The sequence below is a fragment of the Homo sapiens genome, chromosome 5 (assembly GCF_000001405.40).
Source record: "Homo sapiens chromosome 5, GRCh38.p14 Primary Assembly".
Taxonomy (NCBI): domain Eukaryota; kingdom Metazoa; phylum Chordata; class Mammalia; order Primates; family Hominidae; genus Homo; species Homo sapiens.
In genome coordinates, this window is record NC_000005.10 from 22,740,667 (window position 1) to 22,765,239 (window position 24,573).

Genomic DNA, 24,573 nt, shown 5'->3' on the forward strand with positions numbered 1-24,573 from the left:
AATCATGTACATTTTGGAATCTGTTATTGATTCCTTCCATAGATGTTTTAAAACTTAATCTCCCTGAACTTGTGTTGGGGAAAGGCTTAAATGAACAATTTTGTGATTCCAAGAATACTTGTATACTACCATTCCATGAGCTAAGATTACCTATAGAACTGAATAAAAACTTAAATGATAAACTTGCAAATTCTTGTGAGAAAGGCAATATGTCTTGAAAAGTAATGCATTAAATGAACATTGAGATATTGTTAAACATCCCTATTAACAAAACCAAAATATAAGAATAGTATTTTTTAGAAACAATAGGGGATTTCAAGTGCCTTCTCTATTCTAATTTGAAAATATCGCACAGTGTGACACCAAAGTAGAAGAGAATTTAGAAAATGATTCACACTGATATCTAGTGTAACTCAGGAGATATTTATTACAAAAGGTTATTTCTGAAAATTAACCATTGTTTTGCTTGGACTGAATCATCCTCTCTAAAGGTAAGTCTACTTGAAGGAAAATTTTTAGATGACTTTCAATGAAGAGGAGCAGTTTTCATGAAACATACCCACAAAATCAGGTCCAGGGATTGTCTTTGAGAAAATCTTCTGTTTGAAAATCTGTGATGAACATTGTAGATTCTTTGCTTTTACATTTATTAATTTTAACATGCATGTTTCTAGAGATTTGAGGTTAAGTTTTAATGAAACAAGTATGCTATTTCCCATATTTGCTATTTTTATTATTAGCATTATATCCGTTAGGATGCTTTTGGTAGGAAACCTCAGAATATTTCAAACCAAACTGGTTTAAATGGTAAGTTTTGTTGTTGTTGTTGTTGTTTTTAATTCTGAAGTATGTCTAGAGGTAGGGTGGGCTCCAAGATTGGAGGTTGCCTTTCAGCCTCCATCATCTCATGCAAAATGTGAAAAGTCTTTGCTTTTTAAGTTAGCCTCCCTCAGTATTGTAAGATGGATCCAGCAGATGGAAGAGTAATATTCACATCTGTATGTGTCTCCTTAGGAGCAATGACAATTTTCTAAAAGCTCTCTCAGCATTCTTCCTTCTATACTACATGGTCAAGCATTGGATCAGAAACTCAGTGATACACTAATCTCTAACAAGTGCAAGGGTTTACCACCATTTGGGTTGGAATAGATACTGTGGATTGAATCATAAAGACCTCCATACAGAGAATTTCTTATGATGAACAAAATGCTTTAGAAAGCTTAAGAACAACAGACGAGGGGCAGTGGCTCATGCCTGTAATCCCAGCACTTTGGGAGGCAGAGACAGGTGGATCACCTGAGGTCAGGAGTTCGAGACCAGCGTGGTCAATATGGTGAAACCCTGTCTCTACTAAAAATACAAAAGGTAGCTGGGCATGATGGCAGGTGCCTGTAGTCCCAGCTACTCAGGGAGGCTGAGGCAGGAGAATCACTTGAACGTGGGAAGTGGAGGTTGCAGTGAGCTGAGATTGTGCCACTGTACTCCAGCCTGGGTGACAGAGCAAGACTCCATTTCAAAAAAAAAGAAGAAAGAAAGAAAGAAAGGAAGAGAGAGAGAAAGAAAGAGAGAAAGGAAAGAAAAGAAAAGAAAAGACCTTCCAAGAAGAAAAACAAGAACAAGGGGTTTATTGTCACTGCAATCAAGATCCTGAGGACCAGAGGAGTCTGAGTATGAGCTGCCCTCTGTCTTAAGGAACAAGAAAACCAAGGGAGAATAGCAATAAGACAAAAAAGCGAAATAAGACCACATGGCTTGCTCTAAAAAGAAAGCTGGTGAAGAATCAGACTGGACCTAATCTTTAGAAAGCCTGTGGAAATACCTTCAAAAAATAGTAGACGAAAAATGGGTTACTCTGCTATGTATCTGCCTAGGATAGCCAAATCAGACAATCTACAAAACTTTCTCCACCAGGAGGTCTCCATTTTCTACCTTTGACATTCAGAATCAACTAATCATAATATGCTGCCTGAATTAATTAACAGACATATATCAATAAATATCAATACATATATTTAGGATCTATTGCACAATTGAACAAGTACATTTATATATTATATATATTATATTATTTTACTATGTTATATATTAATTTCAAATAGATATAAACACATATATATATTCATATACACAGGTATATTTGCATTCCACTATGTGGTGGTTAATTTTATGTGTCAACTTGACTGGGCCACAGGGTGCCTAGATAGTTGGTCAAACATTAATCCATGTATTTCCGTGAAAGTGTTTTGGATGAGATTAACATTTAAATGGAAAGACTGGGTGAGCAGATTGTCATTTCTAATGTGGTTAGGCCTCATTCAATCAGTTGAAAGCCTGAATAGAACCAAAAGGCTAACCCTCCCTCAAAGCAAGAGACATTTCCTCCTGCTCAACTGTATCAAACCAAAATATTAGCTCTTTCCAGTACTTCAGCTTGTCAGTCTTCAGACTGAAACTTACGTGAGTTCTCCTGGTTCTGAGGCCTTCAGACTCAGAGGAACTCTGAGTTCCTCAACTCTCCTGGTCTCCAGCTCTCCAGCTTGCTCACTCATACTGCAAATCTTGGGACTTCTCAGCATCCATAATAGCATGGAGATTATATATATATATATATATATGTATATATATGTATATGTATATATATGTATATGTATATATGCACATCTTATTGGATTCATTTCTCTGGAGAACTCTGATGAATGCATGCTATTAAGCATAAAATCTTAGGGGAGAATGCTCCTGGCTGGGGGAAGCAGTATTGACACTATAAATTGGAAGAAAAATGATGACATGGAAATGGTCAAATGTGTTTATCTTCTGTGAGAGACAAAAAGCTATTCCTTTCAGGATGTAGTCATCCAGATTTTTAGCATTCTCATTTGTAAGACTGTCTGTACAGGTGAATATTTTTGGAAGACAAATTACTAAAGGTCATTATACATGAAATGTTTTACTGATCATTTTACTTATAGTTCCCAGGAGTTACACATGTTAAAATATTAACTTTTATGACTTATATATTAAATGCATATTAACTTATTAAAGACAGAAAGACATTTTTAAAAATCTTTGTTTGGCATAGCAATTTTTTTCTCTACTTCATGAAAAATATGTAACATTCCTGTTAAAACTGTCGAAGTCTTCAATGGCTGACATTATTTAGCATTAACTACAGTTAAGTTCTTACTTATCAGTCTCTGGCTACCTAAAGGTTTTTTTTTTAATGTGATATGTCACATTCAGTAGTTTATTAAGTCAGGTTTCTACTGTTGGGCATTTTGTTGTTTGAAATACATTTATAATCCTTCCTTAGAAATAGAATTTATGGTTCAAAGAGTATACATATTTTTAAATATTTTTAATGTAAAACAACAAGTTGCCATTCCAGAACATGTAACACCTCCTAACACAGGCATTATAGAACAGGGTCTCTATGATCAAACCCAAGACAAGCTTCTTATTAACATTTTAAAACTCCAGTATAGGCCAGGCGCGGTGGCTCACGCCTGTAATCCCAGCACTTTGGGAGGCCGAGACGGGCGGATCACGAGGTCAGGAGATCAAGACCATCCTGGCTAACATGGTGAAACCCCGTCTCTACTAAAAATACAAAAAATTAGCCGGGCATGGTGGCGGGAACCTGTAGTCCCAGCTACTCGGGAGGCTGAGGCAGGAGAATGGCATGAACCTGGGAGGCAGAGGTTGCAGTGAGCTGAGATTGCGCCACTGCACTCCAGCCTGGGCGACAGAGTGAGACTCCGTCTCAAAAAAAAACAAACAAAAAAAACTCCAGTATAATCATACAATGCGTAAATGTGAATTGTTTAATTCATCTCATTGATAATGAAAAGTTTATATTTTACATTATTTATTTTACAAATAAGTCATTTTTCCTTATTTACATTTAGAGCTTTTTTATAATAAAATAAATGAGGTTATTGTATCACTTTAAAAGGTATGTGTCTCCCAACAATTTTATAGATAGCAACTGTAGATTTTTGTTGTTTGTTTAAATCTTCAACAATCATCTATCTCTCTACACATCATGAGGTAAGCATTTAACTTTTGCTTTTTTCAAATAATCTGGTAATCAATTAAAAAAATTGTTAATGTGGTGATATTTTACCAAGAATTGAACTGTTCTCTTTATCATGATAGAGTGCCCTTACCAGTTGTGTGACTCTGGGAAGGCTCTGAGACTTTTGGTTTCTGCAACCTCGTCTGTAAATGGGAATAATAATAGTAAATTCCTAACAGGGTGGGTAGGAGAGTTAGTTAATATATCTATGTAGAAAACTTAAAAAGAACCTGACATATAATTAACACTCAATAATTAACTCGGCTAGCTAAATATATTTATATATTATAAATATTAAATATTTATAATTGTCAGATCTGCTGGAATTATTGACTTTTCATTGGCCTATCTATAGTTATACCACAATGAAACATTCTTGTTTATGAAATGTTCCCTAAATCATAAAGTCAGGAAAATCACGTCATTCTTCAAATACTACCCATTGCTCTTCTATAGATTAAAATTAGTATCATGGTACTAAGTTTTCAATCAAAGAGTTAGGCAAATAAACTAACAAATAAGCATTCCATTGAGATTTTTTTTTAATTAAATTGCATTAAAGATCACCTTGGGAAGATTTGCCATGTTTTCAAATCTAAATCTTTTACTTAGGAACATTGAAGTTATATAATCTAAAGATAGCAATACCATTTGACCCAGCAATCCTGTTACTGGGTATATACACAGAGGAATATAAATCATTCTATTTTGAAGACACATGCATGTGTATGTTCATTGCAACGCTATTCACAATAGCAAAGTCACTAAGTCAACCTAAAAGCCCATCAATAATAGACTGGATAAAGAAAATGTGGCACATATACACTATAGAATACCATGCAGCCATAAAAAAGAATGAGATCACATCCTTTGCGGAGACATGAATGGAGCTGGAGGCCATTATCCTTAGCAAACTAACAGAGGAACACAAAATAAAATACCACATGCTCTCACAATTGGGAGCTAAATGATGAGAACACATGGACACACAGAGCGGAACGTATCCACTGGGGCCTTTTGGAGAGTGGAGGGTGGGAGGAAGGAGAGATTCAGGAAAAATAACTAATGGGTACGAGGCTTAATACCTGGGTGATAAATTAATCTGTACAGCAAACCACCATGACACATGTTTATCTATGTAAAAGGCCTGCACGTGTACCCCAGAAGTGAAAATAAACATTAAAAAATAAAATAAAATATAATGCAGTGGTTATTTGTCATTCTACAACTAACCTGTATTCTTATAATGACAGAGCAATTTAAAAGGTCAAAAATATTTACCCTATGTGAGATATAATAATAGGTCCATGTATGAAATATAATAATTGGTTCATCTGTCAATTGAAAAAAATATTTTAATATTTGGTAATTAATTTCTCCAAAGTATTATTAGTATGGGCATAGCAAGAAGACAATTGGTATATATAGAAGTTGTATCTCTGCTGAGTACCACCTAAAGTAGGCATTTAATTGAAACACAGGCTGGCACTTTACACATCATCCTTTGTTAATTGGTCTTTGGAGGCTGTTTGGAGGTTTCCAATTATCAATCCCCCAAATCCCACAACAATAACAACAATTTTAAAAAAAGAAGGTCACCTTCTCACCTTCTCTTTCTACTAATGAGTAGTGCCAAAAAGTGACAGAAGGAAGAGCAAATATCACTGTTTTATTATGTTTCTATCTGGTTTATCAGAGATCTGTTTAAAAAGCTGTAAATATGGACATGGTATAAACTTAGCCAAAGTAGGGTCTTTATTGTGATTGTTTGTGTTTGGAAAATGAAAATCAACACCAAGAAAGAGTTAGACATTACAGGCATGCATGCAAATATATGTATTTCTGACAGTACGTTTAGGATAAATGCAATATATTTAAAACCACATGTAAATGATTTTGAAATATAACAGCCATAAGTATTACATTTGACCATTCTTAATTTTCAGTATTTGTCACTGCAATGTATTAAATTATTTTTATTGTACATCTGTAAAGCCAGCACAGTAACATATTAAATCAGCTTGCAAAATGCATTTGGAAAATTCCATGGTAAGCTTAAAGAAGAATATTTAGCTTCAGATGTTTACATCAGAATTTTTACACCTCAAACTATGACTGGAAAAGACAAAAGTATATAATCATTATGTGGTAGACACAGATAGTAGCAGCTTCCTAAACACAGCTGTACACAGTGTCATTGTTAGAAACTTAATCCAAGATAAAAACTTTAAAAATTGAGAATGGTAAAAGTATAATGAGGCATTAGGCAACTTGAATTTCTCCTCTGTCTTCCAACATCTACTTTCATTTTGATGTCCTAGTTCATTTCCTCAGTGCTTCTAGATCTTGAAAGTGATGTGTACTTTAATAAATTGAATATGGGTAAAAATTAGTTACAACTAGAAATGTCATGCCATGTAAATAATTTTTATATAAGAAAAATGGTTAAACACTTATTATATGTTTATTTTACAGAAAGGCTTACCTATAATCAATAACATGTGATTTTTAAAATGATGGTAATATTCAAACAAAGAAAATGTCCAAATGAATTAATATTGTACTCATTTGGTATGTTTCCCCATTTATAAACAGTAAAAGACCAGGTGTAGTGGCTCACACCTGTAATCTGAGCAGTTTAGGAGGCCAACATGGGCAGATTGCTTCAGTTAAGGAATTCAAGAACAGCCTGGGCAACAAAGTGAGACCCTGTCTGTACAAAAAAAAAAAAAAACTACAAAAATTGGCTGGGTATGGTTCTGTGTGCCTGTAGTCCAAGTTACTCATCTGGGAGGTGGAGGTTGCAGTGCAGTGAGCCTAGATTGCGCTACTACCCTCCAACCTGGTAACAGAGTGAGACGCTGCCAAAAAAAAAAAAAAAAAGAGAAGAAAAGAAAAAAAAGTAGTAAATAATGAAACAATTAACTTATAGCTAAAGTTGCATTTGAGTTCTTGTTGCTTATGATTTCTTCAATAAAAGCATTAAAAATATGTGATTCTTAAGAATGATTTACGATTCCTAGTGTTTTAAACTTGGCCCTTGCAGCAAAATAGAATTAAAAATTTCTTATGAATCTGAGTATTTTATTTTTCAAAATGTATTCAGGAATAAATGGATAGATAGCTATAGGAATAGGGTGTGCTTGCACTTTTCAAATTCTTATATTCTGGTAATTCAAGAAATGCTATTTGTCTCCATCTAAATAAATTTGAGTAGAGAAGAATTGGTTCCCATAAAGAGCACACATTCACTATAATCACTGAAAGCAAAACTGATAAAATGCCAAAGTGAAGATGTTTGCCACTGAGATGGCTTTGGAAAAATAAAATGTTTAAAACTTTTTCAAGAGAATAAACTATTTGAAAGGTATATTTAAATAAAATATGTGTAAATTGAAACAAGACAAAAATAAGTATTTTTTAAATGGAACAGCTGAGCTGATAAGCATAAATTCTATTTTCTGTATACAACTGAATAAATTGACTTTTAGTGTCACACTGTTTTAAGTGAAATATAGGAGCTGGTGCTGAAACACTTTAATATTGGAAGTGGTTACATATAAAAGAACTTGATGGAATACACAAGACATAAATGAATAGACTGGATGTAGCAAAGTGCTCCCAAAATATAGATAATACTGGCAGCACAGAAAATGAAGACTCAAGTAAAATATTTGTGAGACATGAGTGAATAAGGAAAAAAAAAAGATAAAGATAAAAGCAGGGTCTCAAAACATTGACCTGCTCAGTATAGAATACTGTGTGAATGAGAATAAAGATGTATTTTGTTTTCTTCTGGGCCCTGTTTCCAGAAGCTTAATGAAAGACTTAGGCTATCTTTTATAATTCAAAGGAAGAAAAGCACACTTTTAAGATCTAAAGAAACCTCTGTGTATAGAGTACACCAAGGACTCAATTTCAAGTATCATATCCACAGAAATGAAATCTTAAGATAAATATTAGTAGAGACTGTAGCGATTGTAATGATGTGACGACATTTCCATATTAAGTTTATTATGGTAAATGCCACTCACCAAATCTCTTCTTTAGAAATGCTGTTTCATTACATTTTAGTGAGAACATAAACAAAAACAAGCTTTCTCAATGTTTTAGCGTAGGGGCTGTTTGACTTCAGTTCATCAGTTATTGACTGCCTTCATGCCAGGCTATTTTTGCTGGAGTCACAATACCTGTCCTTGAAACTCACTGGGCTGGGAGACAAAGAAGTATAGTACAAAAGGCCTATGATAGAGACATCATTGATGTGGGAAGGTGAGGAGAGGTGTCGACTTAGGTTTTAAACACAATGCTCTCAATGCTTTTAGGACAACTTCAAGGAGGGGCTAATTGTGCAATATTTGGCCCTGGTGGGCGTGTTGGAGCTGACAACTGACTGATGCATTGGCATATGAGTTGTAACGTGCAAGCAGAAGTTGAAAGTATGATCAGCAGCAACAGCATGAGCACAGCACAGAGGCCTGAGGGCCTGGCCCTGAAGCAAACAGGTTCAAAGAGAGACCTGTCTGAAGCGCAGGTGAGAAATGAGTCTGAAAGGGACATATGGTCCCAAGGTTAGAAAGCCTATTGTCTTGAACTACTTTGATTCATAGAATGCTTTACTAAGGTGGGGCAACATTTTATGTTTTGATGAAGTATAAAATAACATAATTGAAACACTGATGTTTCCTCAAATTCTCTTTAGTTTCAAGTGAATGATTTTCATGGACTTGCAGATTTAAATGCTACAAGAACGGGATCATAAAACCAAAGAAGAAATGTTATAGGTTTCCTACATAGAGACAAAATAACTTATATATTTCTAAAAGTAAAATCAAATTGGTATTACTAGCATGAGTAGAATACATGTAGTACCCCAGAGACTCCAAATAGGGAAGGCAATGGTATTCAAATATCTACTACGTATGTCACTATTTTTTCTATGAACACAGAGTGATTGCTTCATTCTGTGTTCAGAGAAGGCAAAATTGATTTCTGATAGAATTTGAAAATGGACAGTTAGAAGTGGTCCTGTTCCCCTTGCAGATGTTCAAAACTGCAGACTTCCCTCCTACAACCTGCATGCGTCCTACTGTAAATAGGCAGTACATTCTCATTATATTTGATACATTACGTTTTCGTATGTTAGCATTATTTTTGAGTTGCATAGACACACACAAAATCACTTAGGCACACATACAATTTTTCAATTCATATAGCTATCAACTTCTTCCACCTTCATTTACCACCTATTCCTTAACCGTTTAGTCTTGGACATATGGCTCTGGTAAGACATCATTCCTAATCTAGTGCACTCAATTTTCCTGTGCAGAAAAACACATATTATACTAAAGTTACATAGGAAAATCTTATAGTAGATATATTTGATTTATGTTGAGGAAGTAAAATGGAAGAGGCATGGATTTTTTTCTTTCCCTGGAGAGATTAGGAAAGTGAACAAAGAGAAAAGCTACTTATTCTGGAACATGAACAAAGAGAGCCACAGGAGATGACACTAAAAAGGAAAACTGGGTTCGCATGCTGTAGAGCCTTGAATATCATGTTGAGAAAATTGGGCTTATAACTATAGGTAAGGGCAAGCCATTTGCAGTCCATAAACCTTGGGTGTAACTTCATCTATTTTCTGTCACACAAAAGTAACTGGATTCAATAGGTAAGAACAACGGGCAAAGAATGCAATTAGAAAGCCATGGCAGTAGTCCAAGTAGGAGGAAATAATATTATCATTATGGTAATAGCAATGTGAATAAAACTAAAGGATTAAAAATATTACAAGGTGTGAGATATGGTACTGGGGATATCAAGAAGAGCCAAAACCCAGAGAGATATTCTGAGTCAAAACTGGAAAGCTCTGATGGACCAGTCGAATGTAGGGCAGTGAGAGAGATGGAATAATGGAAAACTACAGTGTTTAGTTTTGGGATACTGATGACACAGTTAAATGGAGAATTCAGTTTGGAAGTACATTGAGGAAGTAAAGTGAAGAAAATGAGTTAGGTTTTCAACAAAATAATAGTAAAATACCTGCAAGATACTAAGATGAAGCCATTTGACACCCGGATAGGTGGCTCTGTAGCTCAGAAGTCAGGTCCCAACTCAACATACACATTTGAGTCAATTAACATTGAGTTGGTATTTAATGTTAGGAAATCATAGTGAAAAAAAAAAAAGGTAGGGGATAGGAAGGTAGGGAGAGAAAAAATGAGAACAAGGTTTACAACCCTGGAATAAGAAGTAAGAATTTAAAATAAATCTTTACATTTCACAATGTTGGGAAAATGAATGACTTACTGAGGTACTGAGAACAGTTGTTAAGTAGATTTGGAATCACCTGAATAAAATGTATTGGAAAAGGAAAAGAAGTAAAGGGAGAGGAAAAATAAATGGTTTAATTTGCAGGAAAAGTAACGTTTGGGTAATACCTTAAAGAGGCGGCAAGATAGGAGGAAATGTAATTTATTTAAGATGGGACTTATCGCATATCTGAAAAAGCACAGTGGTCCCTTTTTGAGAATAATGGAATAACATAGAAATTATCAAAAATAGAATTATTAAACTGTGATATATATATATAATATACATATATATATATATATATAATATCTACAAAGTATATAATCTTATCTTTCCTTGAAGATAAATCTGAGTCCAGATCTTTTGGTCATGTGAACATACTGCTAAAAAGTCTTCTATTTCCATGATAATTTTTTATAGTAAGTTAATTATCATTATTTTCCCTAGATGTCACATAAAATTGTTGTGATATTATATAAAGTTAGCTGTTAGCGTCTGGAGTATTTCTCATCATTCTTAAAATAGACAACAGTAATAATATAGAACATTAATGTTTCTATATCCATTTAGGAGGTGTTTGTAAAAAGTTCCAGTTGATAATTCAAATGTAGCTGCCGCAAAACTGTTGCCACGTGTTCACTGATATTTCTGAAGTTATTTGGTTTGGGTATGTTGCCAGCTAGCAAAACACATCTAATAATCTTACTTCACTTCACAGCAATTTGTTGGTATTTTATTCTAAACATTTATGATAAGATGCTACCATACATATTTATCATGTGTGAGATAATAAAGTGTCATTATATGAATATAAACATTATATAACCACTGTTTGAAGACTAGTGCTACATAAACATCTATTTCGGCAGTATTCTCAGAGTATAGCCAGCAGATGCTATACTCTATTTTTTTTGAAGAGTGATCAGCTACAAGTCTAAACAAAGTGAGCTCACAGATGCCGTATAGTTTAATTGCTATCATTTCAGTGTGGAGATGTTCTAGAGAAAAGTAGCAAATCTCATACTAGCTATTAAAAACTAAATGTATTATATTACTCCAACATCTGCTATTTATTTTGCTTTTGCTTCATGGCAGGTACAATTAATATTGTTTTAGTCATAGATTTATAAAATTTTCCCCATGGGTAATCCCATTATGGAAAATGTTTGCACTTAAAAACCCACAGAGATTTTTTAAAACATTTTTAATATGGAAAAATTATAAGAAAAAAACCCTTAATGTACATGTATTATATTAATTAATACTAGAGTAACTTCAATAATTAGGCTTTCAAAGAAGCCGGAAAGTATGGAAGCTATACTAACAATGAGTTTCATGAAGCATGATACCTTTTCCTTCTGCTCTCATTTGTTGAATTTAGTGGAACTCTACACCAGAAACTTTCCACATGTTTTCATTTCTCAAACTATGTGCCTGCTCTTTGTGTTAGGTTCTGGGGATGCAGTGATGAAGAAAGCAGATAGGATACTTCTTTTTTTTTTTTTTTTTTTTTTTTTTTTCTTTTTTTTTTTTTTTGAGACGGAGTCTCGCTCTGTCGCCCAGTCTGGAGTGCAGTGGCGAGATCTCCTCTCACTGCAAGCTCCGCCTCCCGGGTTCACGCCATTCTCCTGCCTCAGCCTCCCTAGTAGCTGGGACTACAGGCGCCCGCCACTACGCCCGGCTAATTTTTTGTATTTTTTTACTAGAGACGGGGTTTCACCGTTTTTAGCCGGGATGGTCTCGATCTCCTGACCTCGTGATCCGCCCGCCTCGGCCTCCCAAAGTGCTGGGATTACAGGCGTGAGCCACCGCGCCCGGCAGGATACTTCTTTCTTGGAGCTCACATTCCTCTGAAGAAGACAGATAAGGCAAGTAATAAACAAACAGCTAAATGCATGAGGGTTTTGAACGGTGTTAAATGTCACAAGAAAATAAACAAAGAAGGGAATAGAGACGTAGGGAAGGCAGCTTCAATGCGAATGACCAAGAAATAGCTCTTTGAAGAGGTGAAACTTTGGCCAAGAGCAGACTGATGAGAAAGAGCGAGGCATGTTAAGACCTGGGGGTGCACATTTCAGCAGAATACACATAAATCATAAAGGCTGTAAGACATTAACAAGCTTGATAAACTCAAGAAACAGAAGTTTATTAAGCTTGCTATGAAACTGGAATATATTGAGTGAGGTAGAAGATGAGGTGGTGATGAACCCTGTCTCTATTAAAAATACAAAAAATTAGCCGGGCACGGTGGCGGGCGCCTGTAGTCCCAGCTACTCGGGAGGCTGAGGCAGGAGAATGGCGTGAACCCGGGAGGCAGAGCTTGCAGTGATCTGAGATCGCGCCATTGCACTTTAGCCTGGGAGACAGAGCGAGACTGTGTCAGAAGAAAAAAAAAAAAGGCAGATGACATAGGGCCTTGTGGGCCTTGGTGAGGAGTTTGGGTTTTATTCTCAATGCAAAACAAAGCCACTGAAGCATTCTCAGCCGTGAGGATCTAGTATGCTTTGAAAGAAAAATAAATATTTTTTGACTTTATGTGTTGTATAAATGGAAGGGGAAGAAGTATGGAAAGAATTTAAACTCTCAGTTGGAAGCATATTGCAGGGAATAGATTTCAAAAAGACAGAATGAAAAGAAGAAAAAATATTTGAGATATACAAACACACATACATATATATGTATATACATTTGCGGTTGGGCAGAAGATACACACTTCAGATTAATTCTCTTTTGGTCCTCTAAATTTTAACATTGAGAAACATTACTGTTTCCTTAGTTCTTAAAAATTTTCCATAACAATTTGCTTTGCTAACAAAAACCAAAGAAATAAAAATCCCTATTATCTAACTTCTGTTGCAATTATTATGCCTATTCCTTCATTTTTCCTCTTAATGAAAAGGGGAACAGCTGCTTACTATCATCCATATTCTTTTCATAAACTTGAAGTCTGTTATTAAGCAGTCCATAAGTTTGTGATGTCTAATTCACATGTCATCATCCAAATTGACTACTTGAAGTCAAAAGCACTGAAAGGGACTTAGTCATTTAAATGACCAAAATAACCTGGCAATTATCCATTATCAAACCTAAACAACGAACATCATATTATGAAAGAAATTGAATCAGTAAAAAATACCAGCAAGCAACTTGAATGCTTTTAAAAATTTGACTACAAAAGTCATTATGTTGTGCACCAGTTGACAAGAGACGACACTTTCGTGTTCTTGCCAAACAAAAACGAAAACAAAAAATTATAGGAGCCTGTTCTAAGTACTGGGGTAACAACCCTAGACACTGTCTTTGGCTTCACAGAGATAACAGGCCAGATGGGCATTGAGACAAGTGAACAGGCAGATGGAAAACAGCATGGTGAGTAATACAGATGGTGGGAAGAACAGGGTACTATGGCATCTGCTGTGGAAAGAAGATAGATCTAGGTGATGGTTAAGTCTAAGACAAAGGAGGAGTAAAATCATCAAGGAAAGCAGGAGAGAGGGAAGGAAGTGGAAAGCAGACAAAAAAAAAAAAAAAACAACAGCAGCTGTAGAAGCCTGAGAAGATGAGAGAGTCAAGTCCTTAGAGGGACTGAAAGCAGAGACATAACGGCACAAAACGAGATGGGAAAGTGACGGAGCAATACATGAGTCTGTAATGAGTGGTAAGATTTTAGATGTTGATTCTTATTTAATCCTTATGTGATTTTTTGAGATAATTCTGCCAGCAGCATGGAAAACAGCTTGGAAGGAAAAAGGCTAAAATCAAAGAAACGGGTTAGGTGTTTATAGGAGGAAGTTATACATCAATATGAATATTCAATTTTACTGTCTTATTGAGACTGTCTATTAGATGTGGGAAGAAGAATTGAACCCATGGGACTCCTCTCTGCAGTGTAAAAAAATTAAAATTTTATGCATTTCTCACAGTCTCTAACCCATATTTTTTTCTATGTCACTTACAAACAGTAATTGATGCCTTTGTTTTCAAATGAGATATTTCTGGAGTGATAAATCTGGATCTATGGATCTTACATAAGGTATCTCCTATCATTTGCTGATATTGTTGATACTATATATTCTTTAAATTGGTTTTATCTATTCCATTTTTTACTAGTTTTATTCATTACAAGTTTAATGTGTGACAAATCTGAAATCAAAGTATTCTAATATAATTTTCTAATATCACTTTTTCATAAAGATACTTATTCATCTCATTGTCACATTCACTACTTTTTATTCAAAATGTTATATAATTGTTAAACTGTATTTGTTGTTTTTATATCATGTTAGTTTCCTGTAACTGATGGGTCACATGAACTTGTCAGTGGTAAATTGTTCAGCTTTATGAGGCTAATACATGAAGATTATAAGAAAATCTAGGGTTCTTAGTCAATGTGTCACAGTTTGAGTTTGTATCCAAATAATAGTTTTTACAATATTTTAACTCATTTACTATCACGAGCAAAGTAATGCACATTTTTTGGTAAAAAGTTCTTGAAGGTAGGAAAGTGTATGAAGAAAAATAAAGCCAATATGTAAGAATTCATACAACACAATTGCTTTTGTTAGAAAAAAACGATTTACTTAAGGACAATGTTGACATCTTTCTTCTCTTGTGTTAAGCTGGTGACACTCTCAAGATTTATATTTTTAAACTTTACTTGCCCAAATATATACACAGAAAATTTGGCAATATTACATTTCTAAAGTTTTAAAACTTTTTATCTTTTCTTGGGTATATACTCATTCACATATAGGCTGCAAACAATAACAAGGAAGTTAACACTGTCTAACTATTTTAAAAGTATCTAAATCATTAGGGTACACTTTTGGATAAACAAGTTAGAACTGTGAAAAATGGGTACAATGTATCTACAGGGGAAATTTTACATACTTTGCTTTTATTATAATTTTATTTATTGACCTGGACTGTTCTACTAAACCATCCTTAAAACTCTTGATGCTGTAAATCTCCCCTGAAAAATTCCTTCTTTAGAAATGACAGATTTGAAAGTGCTTTGAAGTAATGGATCCTAACTTCAAGGACCGAAAAAAAAAAAAAAAAAAAAAGAAAGAAAGAAAAGAAATGGACTGCTTTGCTTTGCTGTGTTCTGCTCAGTCTATAACAGTATACTCACACATATTAGGTGGTCTATCTATGTTTGTTGAACAAATAAACAAATAATGAGTTACAAAATACTGATTAAAACACTAGTATAGCGGTTGTAACAAATCCATCGTACACTATATTTGTAACATTCAAAGATACATAAGTTCCCTTTAGAAACCTTTATTTAGTTAGGAATGACACACTTCAGTCAGTTTTAAAACATAAAAAATATTTCATATAAACTTAATGGTTAATTCTCTATTCCATCCTAATTTATTCCTATTATTTATCTCATATTTATTCATGAATTATTATTTTAACATTTGTGAAGAATATTAAAAAGAGAATATTTCAAAAGACTTATTTTGTTATCCAAATCACAATTTACCCTCATTATCAAATTTCTAACTCTAAAAAGGATTCTTCATAAAATGTGAAAGCCCAAGAAATATAAAGCAAACTCTACTACAAAGCAAAGACTATCGCTAAGTCTTTCAACTTTACAAATTTAATTGTTACTGGCCGGACGCGGTGGCTCACACCTGTAATCCCAGCACTTTGGGAGCCTGAGGCAGGTGGATCACGAGGTCAGGAGTTCAAGACCAGCCTGGCCAAGATGGTGAAACCCCGTCTCTACTAAAAATACAAAACTTAGCCAGGCGTGGTGGCAGATGCCTGTAATCCCAACTACTCAGGAGGCTGAGACAGAGAATTGCTTGAACCCGGGAGGCGGAGGTTGCAGAAAGCCAAGATCACACTACTGCACTCCAGTCTAGGCAACAGAGAAAGACTCCGTCTCAAAAAAAAAAAAAAATTAATTGTTACTTTGTACATTGCATTCCTTATTCATGCTAGCTGTTTTCTAATATCTACCCTCTACTTCCTCAATAGGGATTTAGGTGGGCAGCAGCACTTGGTTATTTACAAGTTCAGGATCCTGTTTATAAAGCAAGGTAGTGTGCCTTCTTCTTTTCCTTGTTTAATATTCTCCATGTAACTTTTCTTCTTCCTGTAGATGTAGATAAAAGCTATCTCTTGAAGATGGTAGAGCACATACCACCCCTGGAATGGTAACCTCTGAACTGTTACACCAAAGATCTTATTTATGGTGTTTAAATGTTTGCGTTGGTCACATGAAACATAATATTTACCTTGCTTAAACATTTAGGGTTTCACTGTTACAGAGTCAGAATTGACTCCAACTAATACATTTCCTTGATTAAGTAAAACTTAGTCTGAGGTGTCTAGGATTATTGTTTTCATTAAAGTAACAATATTTCATTTTGATATAAACTAGTAATGGTTAGTTATATATAGTATAAAATGGTATATGGGATTATCAGCTCATTTTATTATTAGTTATTTGCCCATGCTCAGGTAAAAGTTCTATTATTCAGATGTTTTCATTAAAAGAAAAAAAGATTGTTAACATACATGGATACTTAACAATACTTCTGTTATCAGCATTTTTAATCCTTCATGTGTCTCCAAAGCATACAATGTAAAACAATTCAATTTTAAAATGTATAATTCATTTGCAAGTTTTCTGATAATCCTTAGTGACCTTGGATTGTCAGCTTTGTCCTCCTCTCAATAACAACTTGTATAAGTTAGAAGAAAGAATTGGTCCCAAAAGAAATCCCCTAAATGAAATAAATTTTAAAATCCTTTCATGCATTACACTGCCAATCACTGTGGATAATCCCATTCAAGCTACATAATTAGTATTCTAAGGTATGGATTCCCACCTGTACCATGTAGTACAACATCATGAAGTGGGGAGGGGTATAGAAAGGAGAGGCTCCCAGCAGACTTTTATGTGATAGAATGTGGGAATCAATTTTAATTAATTCTGCCTCTTTAAATCTGTCTGCTCTTTAGGAAAGATTGCTATCTGTCTCCAGCACTATGGCGAGATAATTAATAGGAGCACTGCTGGAGACTGATAGTGCAGGCGGCCGATACCCATGGCAGGAGCTCTCGTCATCTAACTGCCACAGAATTGTGAAGGTAAAGAATCTGCAGAAAAGTGGAACATTCATTTTTACTAAATAAATGCATTATCTATAGCACACATTATAGAGTTTTGTTGTTGTTGTTGTTAATCTAACATGTAACAGAAATAAAAGAGATTGTTTCTAAACCACTTTAAACTGTTCTGGCAACTACCTTAGACCCTTCTGGCGAAGCATCTCTAAAGAAGACCATTGACAGCCACTATCAGTAGCAGCAGCAGTGGGCATGTGTCCTCGCTTGCCACCCCACAAAAAAGCAAACAAACAAAAATCATTCCCAGATGAAAACTACGAAGTTGTAAACTATAAAAGGGAAGATTAAACATTGTCTGTGTGTTCTCTAACATCCATTTGATTTATAGTTTTTTTTTTTTTCCTTTTTTGACAGAAGTTGGTCTTATCCCATTTTCTCAGCATAAAAATAACAATTCTCTTATAAGGCAGTTTTACGCAGCATTAACAGAGCAAAGAGTAAACTTTGTTTGCTTTAATAATACTAAATTGTAACATCATATTTTCTATTTGCAAATGTTTGTCCATCTACTGGATGTATAAATCTTCGTAGTGACAAAAGTATGTTTGATTTATTTATAATGGTCAATGGAAGGGCTATGAAATTGTGTATTAAGCTACTATGAGAAAAGCGGCATGGCTCAAATAATCATCTTTATATTCAGCATGCTTCAGGCAATCACTAATTTTTGAGAAATCTATTGTTCTCTAGTTTTTCCCAAGTACTCATTTCCAACCTCATTCCATCAGGTATTCTCTGAGGAGTCTTATCCCTATGACTTGCTCAAAGCAGATATTGTCTATTTTTTTTGTCTATTAAGAAAATAACAAAATTTTAAAACCAAATAAGATCTTGGCTAAGATACCATATGAAAGGTGAATACACACAGACCCAAACAAGTCCAAAAGATTGCCTGTCATAAAGTTAAAACTGGAATCAGAACTGGCAACCTGGACTTCTGACTTGTGATTCAGGATATATTTCACCATCTAGACTGCTACGCAGTCTCAGAAAAAAAAAACAAAAAAAAACTTAGATTGATTTCAAAGAGGCCACCACACATGTATTCTTTCTTCCAAAGCCTTGTTTTATTCTTACCTTATTCTTCAACCTCTAGTATACACATATACAGCTCATAATTGAAATGATGTATTTTCCTGTCCTTATGCTAAACAATTTTAGGAGGTTTTTTTCCTGTTTTGGGGTTAAAAAGTACTAAAATTAGGCAAGATCATTTAGCTGCTTTCTTTAGGAAATACTTGCTTCTTGAAGACCTCGAAGCAACTGAATAGATCTCTCATCAGGACTTACAGCTTACTCTTCAGTACTTGCCTGAATACCATCTCCTCTCTAGCCCCTCAATCCACAGTTATTATACCATTAACTACCTAATCTGAACTGGCTCCTTGAATTGCATGGCTCGAGTTAAAACTTCTCGCATTTATTATGAAATAATTTTTAAATGAAACCCTATAAATATCGGTCTATTTTTTCTCCCTTCTGATTAAGACTGTCATGATGGTGTTATCCCACTATTAGAGTTCTCCAGATAAATAGAAACAATAGGATGTGAATTTATATATACAGAGACATTTATTTTAAGAAGTTGGCTCATGCAGTTGTGGATGCTGGATAGTCCGAAATCTGCAGGGTAGGTGGGCAAGCTGGGAACTCAGAGAAGAACTGATGTTGTGCTTCAAGTTCAAGGCTGTCTACTGGTAGAATTCCCCTTATCTAGAGGGAGGTCACTCTTTTTCTTAAGGTCTTCAACTGATTGGATGAGGTCCACCCACCTTGTGGATGGTAATCTGCTTCATTCAAAGTATTCAATGTTAATCTCATCTGAAAATACCTTCACAGCAATATCCGGATGTGTTTGATTAAATATCTGGGATGTGGTCTAGCCAAACTGACACATGAAATTAACCATTGCATCCTTTGTAGCAATGAATAAAATAAATTCCATTTTACTGGAACAACAATTTTTCTGGTGGCCTTTCTGAGAAGTTGACAGCTGACATGTTTCTAAGCATTAGGTCTATATAAAACTGATAAAGACAATACAGTTTGTTGGTTAACTATAGAATCTAAATAGGTGATAAGATTCATGAGAAAAGTTTCTTCTGTTTTGTGAATTGTAATATTCTCAGTGCCTAAAACAATTCCTAACAAATAGCAGGTACCAGTAGGTATTTGAAAAAAGCGTAAATGGGCCGGGCGCGGTGGCTCCCGCCTGTAATCCCATCACTTTGGGAGGCCGAGGCGGGTGGATCAAAAGGTCAGGAGTTCGAGACCAGCCTGGCCAACATGATGAAACACCATTGTTACTAAAAATACAAAAATTAGCTGGGCATGGTGGTGGCTGCCTGTAATCCCAGCTACTTGGGAGGCTGAGGCAGGAGAATTGTTTGAACCCGGGAGGCAAATGTTGCAGTGAGCTGAGATCATGTCATTGCACTCCAGCCTGGGTGACAGGATAAGACTCCGTCTCAAAAAAAAAAAAAAAAAAAAAACAAAAAAAAAAAGGTAAATTAAAAAATCAATACGTCAAACATTCTGATGTATTCTTTGTAGAGAAGAAGATTATATTTTCAAAATGATATCTTAAACAGTGTAGTGTGCAATTGAGTAACTGAAATTGAATGTGTACCAGATATACAACTGTGGTATGATCCTATACGTCTGCAACACAAATATCCAGATCCACAACATGCACAAAAAAACCCCACTTTTTTTATTGACAATTATTTTGTTCCTTATGGGAAATTAAATTTTAAAATACTCTCCATCACTCATGCAAATATCAGTTGTTTGAGCAATATGTTTTGCATTCTTATATCATTTTACAAACAGAGCTCATACATGATGTTATCCCTCAGTCATAACTGTTTTTTTGTCATAGTTTAAAATATTTCCTCTCACTTCTTAATGAATGACACTTCAAAGATGCCTGACTTGTCACTTGTATTTATTCACGTCTTTATCTTGAAAAGCTCCAGTGGACAAACCTGAGCATAAAATTGCCACCCAGCTTTTCATGAAGACTGAAGAAGTATTCTGTTTCATGATTTATATCCTGGGTTTTATACTAGGAGCAGGTTATATTAAAAATTATCTCAGATGGGTCAATTTCTTTTAAATCTTTATGAAAGCATCTTGAAAGCAACTCATTCTTATTTCGGCTAAGAACGGAAAATGCCTGGAGAAGGGAAACCCTTACAAAGTTATGTGAAGGGCATGCATGCCACGGTGTGCCCCCCAGGAGTTTTCATAATCACAAGTAAATGGTTATCCACAATATTAAGTGCTACAGGCCCAAGATATAAATATAAGCAGTAACGTCTGCTCTTTAACTTATATATGCCAAATCTCCTATGAAGTTACCAATCAGAACAGGTTTTACTATTTACACCTAGGTAGAGGTGCAAACTAATAAATATTTTACTGTTTGATTCAAGAAATTTCTGGAAACCAATTTATTCCCAAGTGCTTGCTCATCTGGAAAAGCAATTTTTCTGTCAGTTTAATTGACACCTTAAATGGTGATTTAAAATATTTGCAAATTATTTCTATTGTTAAATTTATGATTAATCTTTAAGAAAATGTATAATAAATCACAAAAGAAGAAAGTAGATTTTGTGCATAAAACCGTTAAAATACAAACAAAACCTTGTGTCAGACTTAGCATGTGTTACTGATATGTACTTTAATCTTCTACAAAATTTCAGTTTGTAATTTCTCAAACACACACACACACACACACACACAATCACACACATAACCTAGTGTTATAAAGGTGCCAATGGTATAAAGAAAGATTATGAACTTCAAAGTCATAGTTTCCCAGAGAGAAAAAAATTGTATATTCAGAGATGTAAATTGATTCAGGTAAAATACCTAGTTAGTAGTTAAACTGGCAATCAAAGTCTAAAACCTAACCTATACATCACCCAGTTACGAAATGTATGTAATGTGTATATGTACAAACTCACATGCATCTATGTGTATATTTGACCTAAATTATTCCAATATATATACATAAAGAAAATCAATAATTTTTAAATGCATGAGTCCCATGGAGAAGAAGTAATAATAATTATAGGAGTAATCTCTTACCCATAGATCTGTCCCTTGGTGTTACAAAATAAAAAATCTAATTTTATCTTACACATTTGTTAGTTGTTAGATTTAATTCTCAGTCATTCTTAAAAAAGTATTAAAATATTGTGATTTGAGTTTTATTGTATTTTATTTGCTAGAATAGCATTATTTATTAAAATAACACAGGCAAGTAATTCATTTTGTGTTAATGATTCTTATTTCTTGAATGGGGCAGAAAGTTATGTCATCAGCTTTTTTTGGAAGACAGTCATTTATAACCTTGAAAACTGTGATCAGACCAATTGAATCCACATAGCTAAAGGATTGGGACTGAGAACTAAGATCGTTGGGTCAAATTGACTTAATCATTTGTTTCAGAACATTCTTTTCTGGGAAGATAAGAGTATAAACTAATAATTTACTGTTTGCGTCAGGAAATTCCTATAAATACATTCATCTTGATAAAGAGTTAATTTTTCTGAGCAAACATGTCTTGTATTAGGACCATGGTTATCTTATCTGAGCAAACAATTTGCTTTTCAAATAACAGTTTAGTTATCACAACTTGCTTCAAGATCTTTTCTGCACACAAATTCTAAACTGCGATGTCATGAACTTTACATACTTCCAAGGAGTTCCCTGCTTGTACATGTCCTCTTTAAGTCACTTGAGCCCAGAATCCTGAACACTGAAAATTAAAAAAAAAATACATCTATTCTTACATTTATACTTCGAATAAGAATTTTTCATGTTGATGTTCTGCCTTGATGCCATATGCCTAATAAACTTAGCTTTACTTTTTTGAAGAGGTGTTGTTTTGGAGAGTTAAAATTTGACAGTCTACTGACTTTTCATAACGGAACATCATGGTAATTTAAGTGTGTCTCAAAAAGGAATAAAAGTCTGAGAACCACATCTCTAGATTTTACCTTTCTTTATCTACAAAATAATAAAAATCTGTCTTACATTTTATTTAACATAGTGGGACAGTATATTATTATGTGATACAGTTTTCCTTGTTCAGATAACAAAATTGATCAGAAACTATCATTATCACAATATAAAAGAAAGCACTGTTTACCCCCTTTCATGTGTGAAGTAATGTGAAAGAAAATGATTATCATGTACATAATTTAATTAACATAACTGAGTATTTTTTAAACAAATGAAGGTCAACTCTGTTAACAGTATTAGATGTCTGAAAGCAAATTCCTACAAACACATGAAAAAAGTAGCAATGGTCTTTGCACATGAGGTTCACGAACTATTCTAAGTATTTGAGCCTCTGACAATTTGTTCAGTTAATCCATTCTCTTCTATATAGTGACTTGTTTAGCCTTTTGGTTTCTAACCTATAAAAGTAAGAGTAGAAAACCTTAAAGATGGACTCATGGGCTCTTTTTCCCATCATGCGAAAATGTTCACTTGCTACAGTGTTTCCAAGTTTAAATAAAGTTTGATCATCTTCATTCTAAGCACTGAGTGATCATTTCATTTCTAAATTTAACTGCATTTATTCACCAAATGAAATGCAGTAAATTTTACTTATACAATCTAATATATAAAAAGAAAAAATGGTGTTTGTGAATGAATAATAATTAAGATATAGAACTTCAATCAGTTCCCCTATGCAGTAATTGGCTAAAGTATAAAATATTTTATATCAGTTTCCTTGAGGCTCTCTTTGGCTTACAAAATTGTGGAATACATTTTTATACTTTATATGTAAGAGTTTTACAAAGTTATGATACAAAACCAGTGAAAGTTTAGTGTGTAAATACACGTGCTTTTTACATTTGTTTTTAAAATAATTTTATCTAATTAGAAGACTGAAAGAGTAACACATACAAAAAATAATATACTCTTTATACAGATTCTTTAATTGTTTTGATTTTACCTCAGGTTTTTGCACTTATTCAATACCCAATGCATTTTATACTGAACTATTTAAGAGGATATTTGAGATATTTTATGCCTGTATTTCTAATGTTTTAGTTATATTTCTCACATAAAACCATTCTACCATTATTGAAAAGAAAAGCTTTTGTCATCAATATATTATTATAGCCAATCTGTAGTTAAATTCAATTGTTGTCTTTTCCATATATATTTCCTTCTTCAGAATGCTGATATAAATTCATACTTGATTAATTGAATAAAGAAACAAATAACTAAATAAATACAAAAGTTCTTCCCTACCATAGAATCATAAATATGCACAATGAAATTAGAGGGCAAATATATAATGAAGAACATGGTATTATAAAATCTCAAACAATTTCCACGTAGATTGCTTATTAATTAAAAAGGGGAATATCATCTCTATAGTGAAAATGTTAAAGATTACATTAATAAACAATCAAAGTGAACATCATCATTCAAGTGACAAACTGCCACCACATTTCTGCAGATATGATGCCTCAAAAGGAGAACAACATCACTTCCGCGGCATTCCTGCGCAAAATGACTAACCTGAATCTAGTCATGAGAAACTGAGAATCTCAAATTGTCAGACAATCTAGAAAATAATTTGCCTGTACTCTTCAAAAATATCAAGATCATGAAAGACAAAGAAAGTCGGAGAAATTGTTTCAGATTAAGATACATTAAAGAGATAAGACGACGGAATGCATTGAGTCCCAGAAGGAGGGATTAGCATATACTGTGTTTGCATATCATAAAAACTGACACTGAGGTAATTCTGCTTGTCTTTTTCTCAAGTCAAAAGAAAGAACCATTAATAAATACATTACAAATACATTAGAATATCCATGTCAATCAAAACTTGAATGAAAGAATAACTAATTTATTATTTATTCCTGTGATTAAACAATGTGCACGTTTCAAAATATGGTATTAAAGGAACATGTCTCTACTTACCTCATCACAAGGTCTTAGACAGCTTCATGTTCATCATTATTAAAGGAAGCCCACACAAAAACTGCACACCC

At 34.0% G+C, this 24,573-nt stretch overlaps 1 protein-coding gene and 1 long non-coding RNA gene across 7 annotated transcripts in view, besides 1 other annotated feature; one reads left to right on the forward strand and one right to left on the reverse strand.

Annotated features, from left to right (window-relative positions):
- CDH12 (cadherin 12) overlaps positions 1–24,573 on the reverse strand; it is a 1,102,672-nt gene that overhangs the window by 989,994 nt on the left and 88,105 nt on the right. The gene's annotated exons all lie outside the window — the stretch shown is intronic.
- Positions 3,636–3,811: a silencer, noted in NCBI's record as "fragment chr5:22744411-22744586 (GRCh37/hg19 assembly coordinates)". NCBI's record gives its function as "represses an EF-1alpha promoter that drives an FKBP-Casp9 reporter gene in an ReSE screen in K562 erythroleukemia cells {active_cell/tissue: K562}" and the evidence as "EXISTENCE:reporter gene assay evidence [ECO:0000049][PMID:32094911]".
- LOC101929617 (uncharacterized) lies at positions 13,817–17,639 on the forward strand. 2 transcript variants are annotated; one of them, XR_241750.6, is made up of 4 exons: positions 13,817–14,045; positions 14,350–14,420; positions 16,385–16,446; positions 17,375–17,639. It is a non-coding gene; the product is annotated as an uncharacterized LOC101929617 (long non-coding RNA). The 2 variants fall into 2 exon arrangements; XR_241749.6 differs by lacking the exon at positions 14,350–14,420.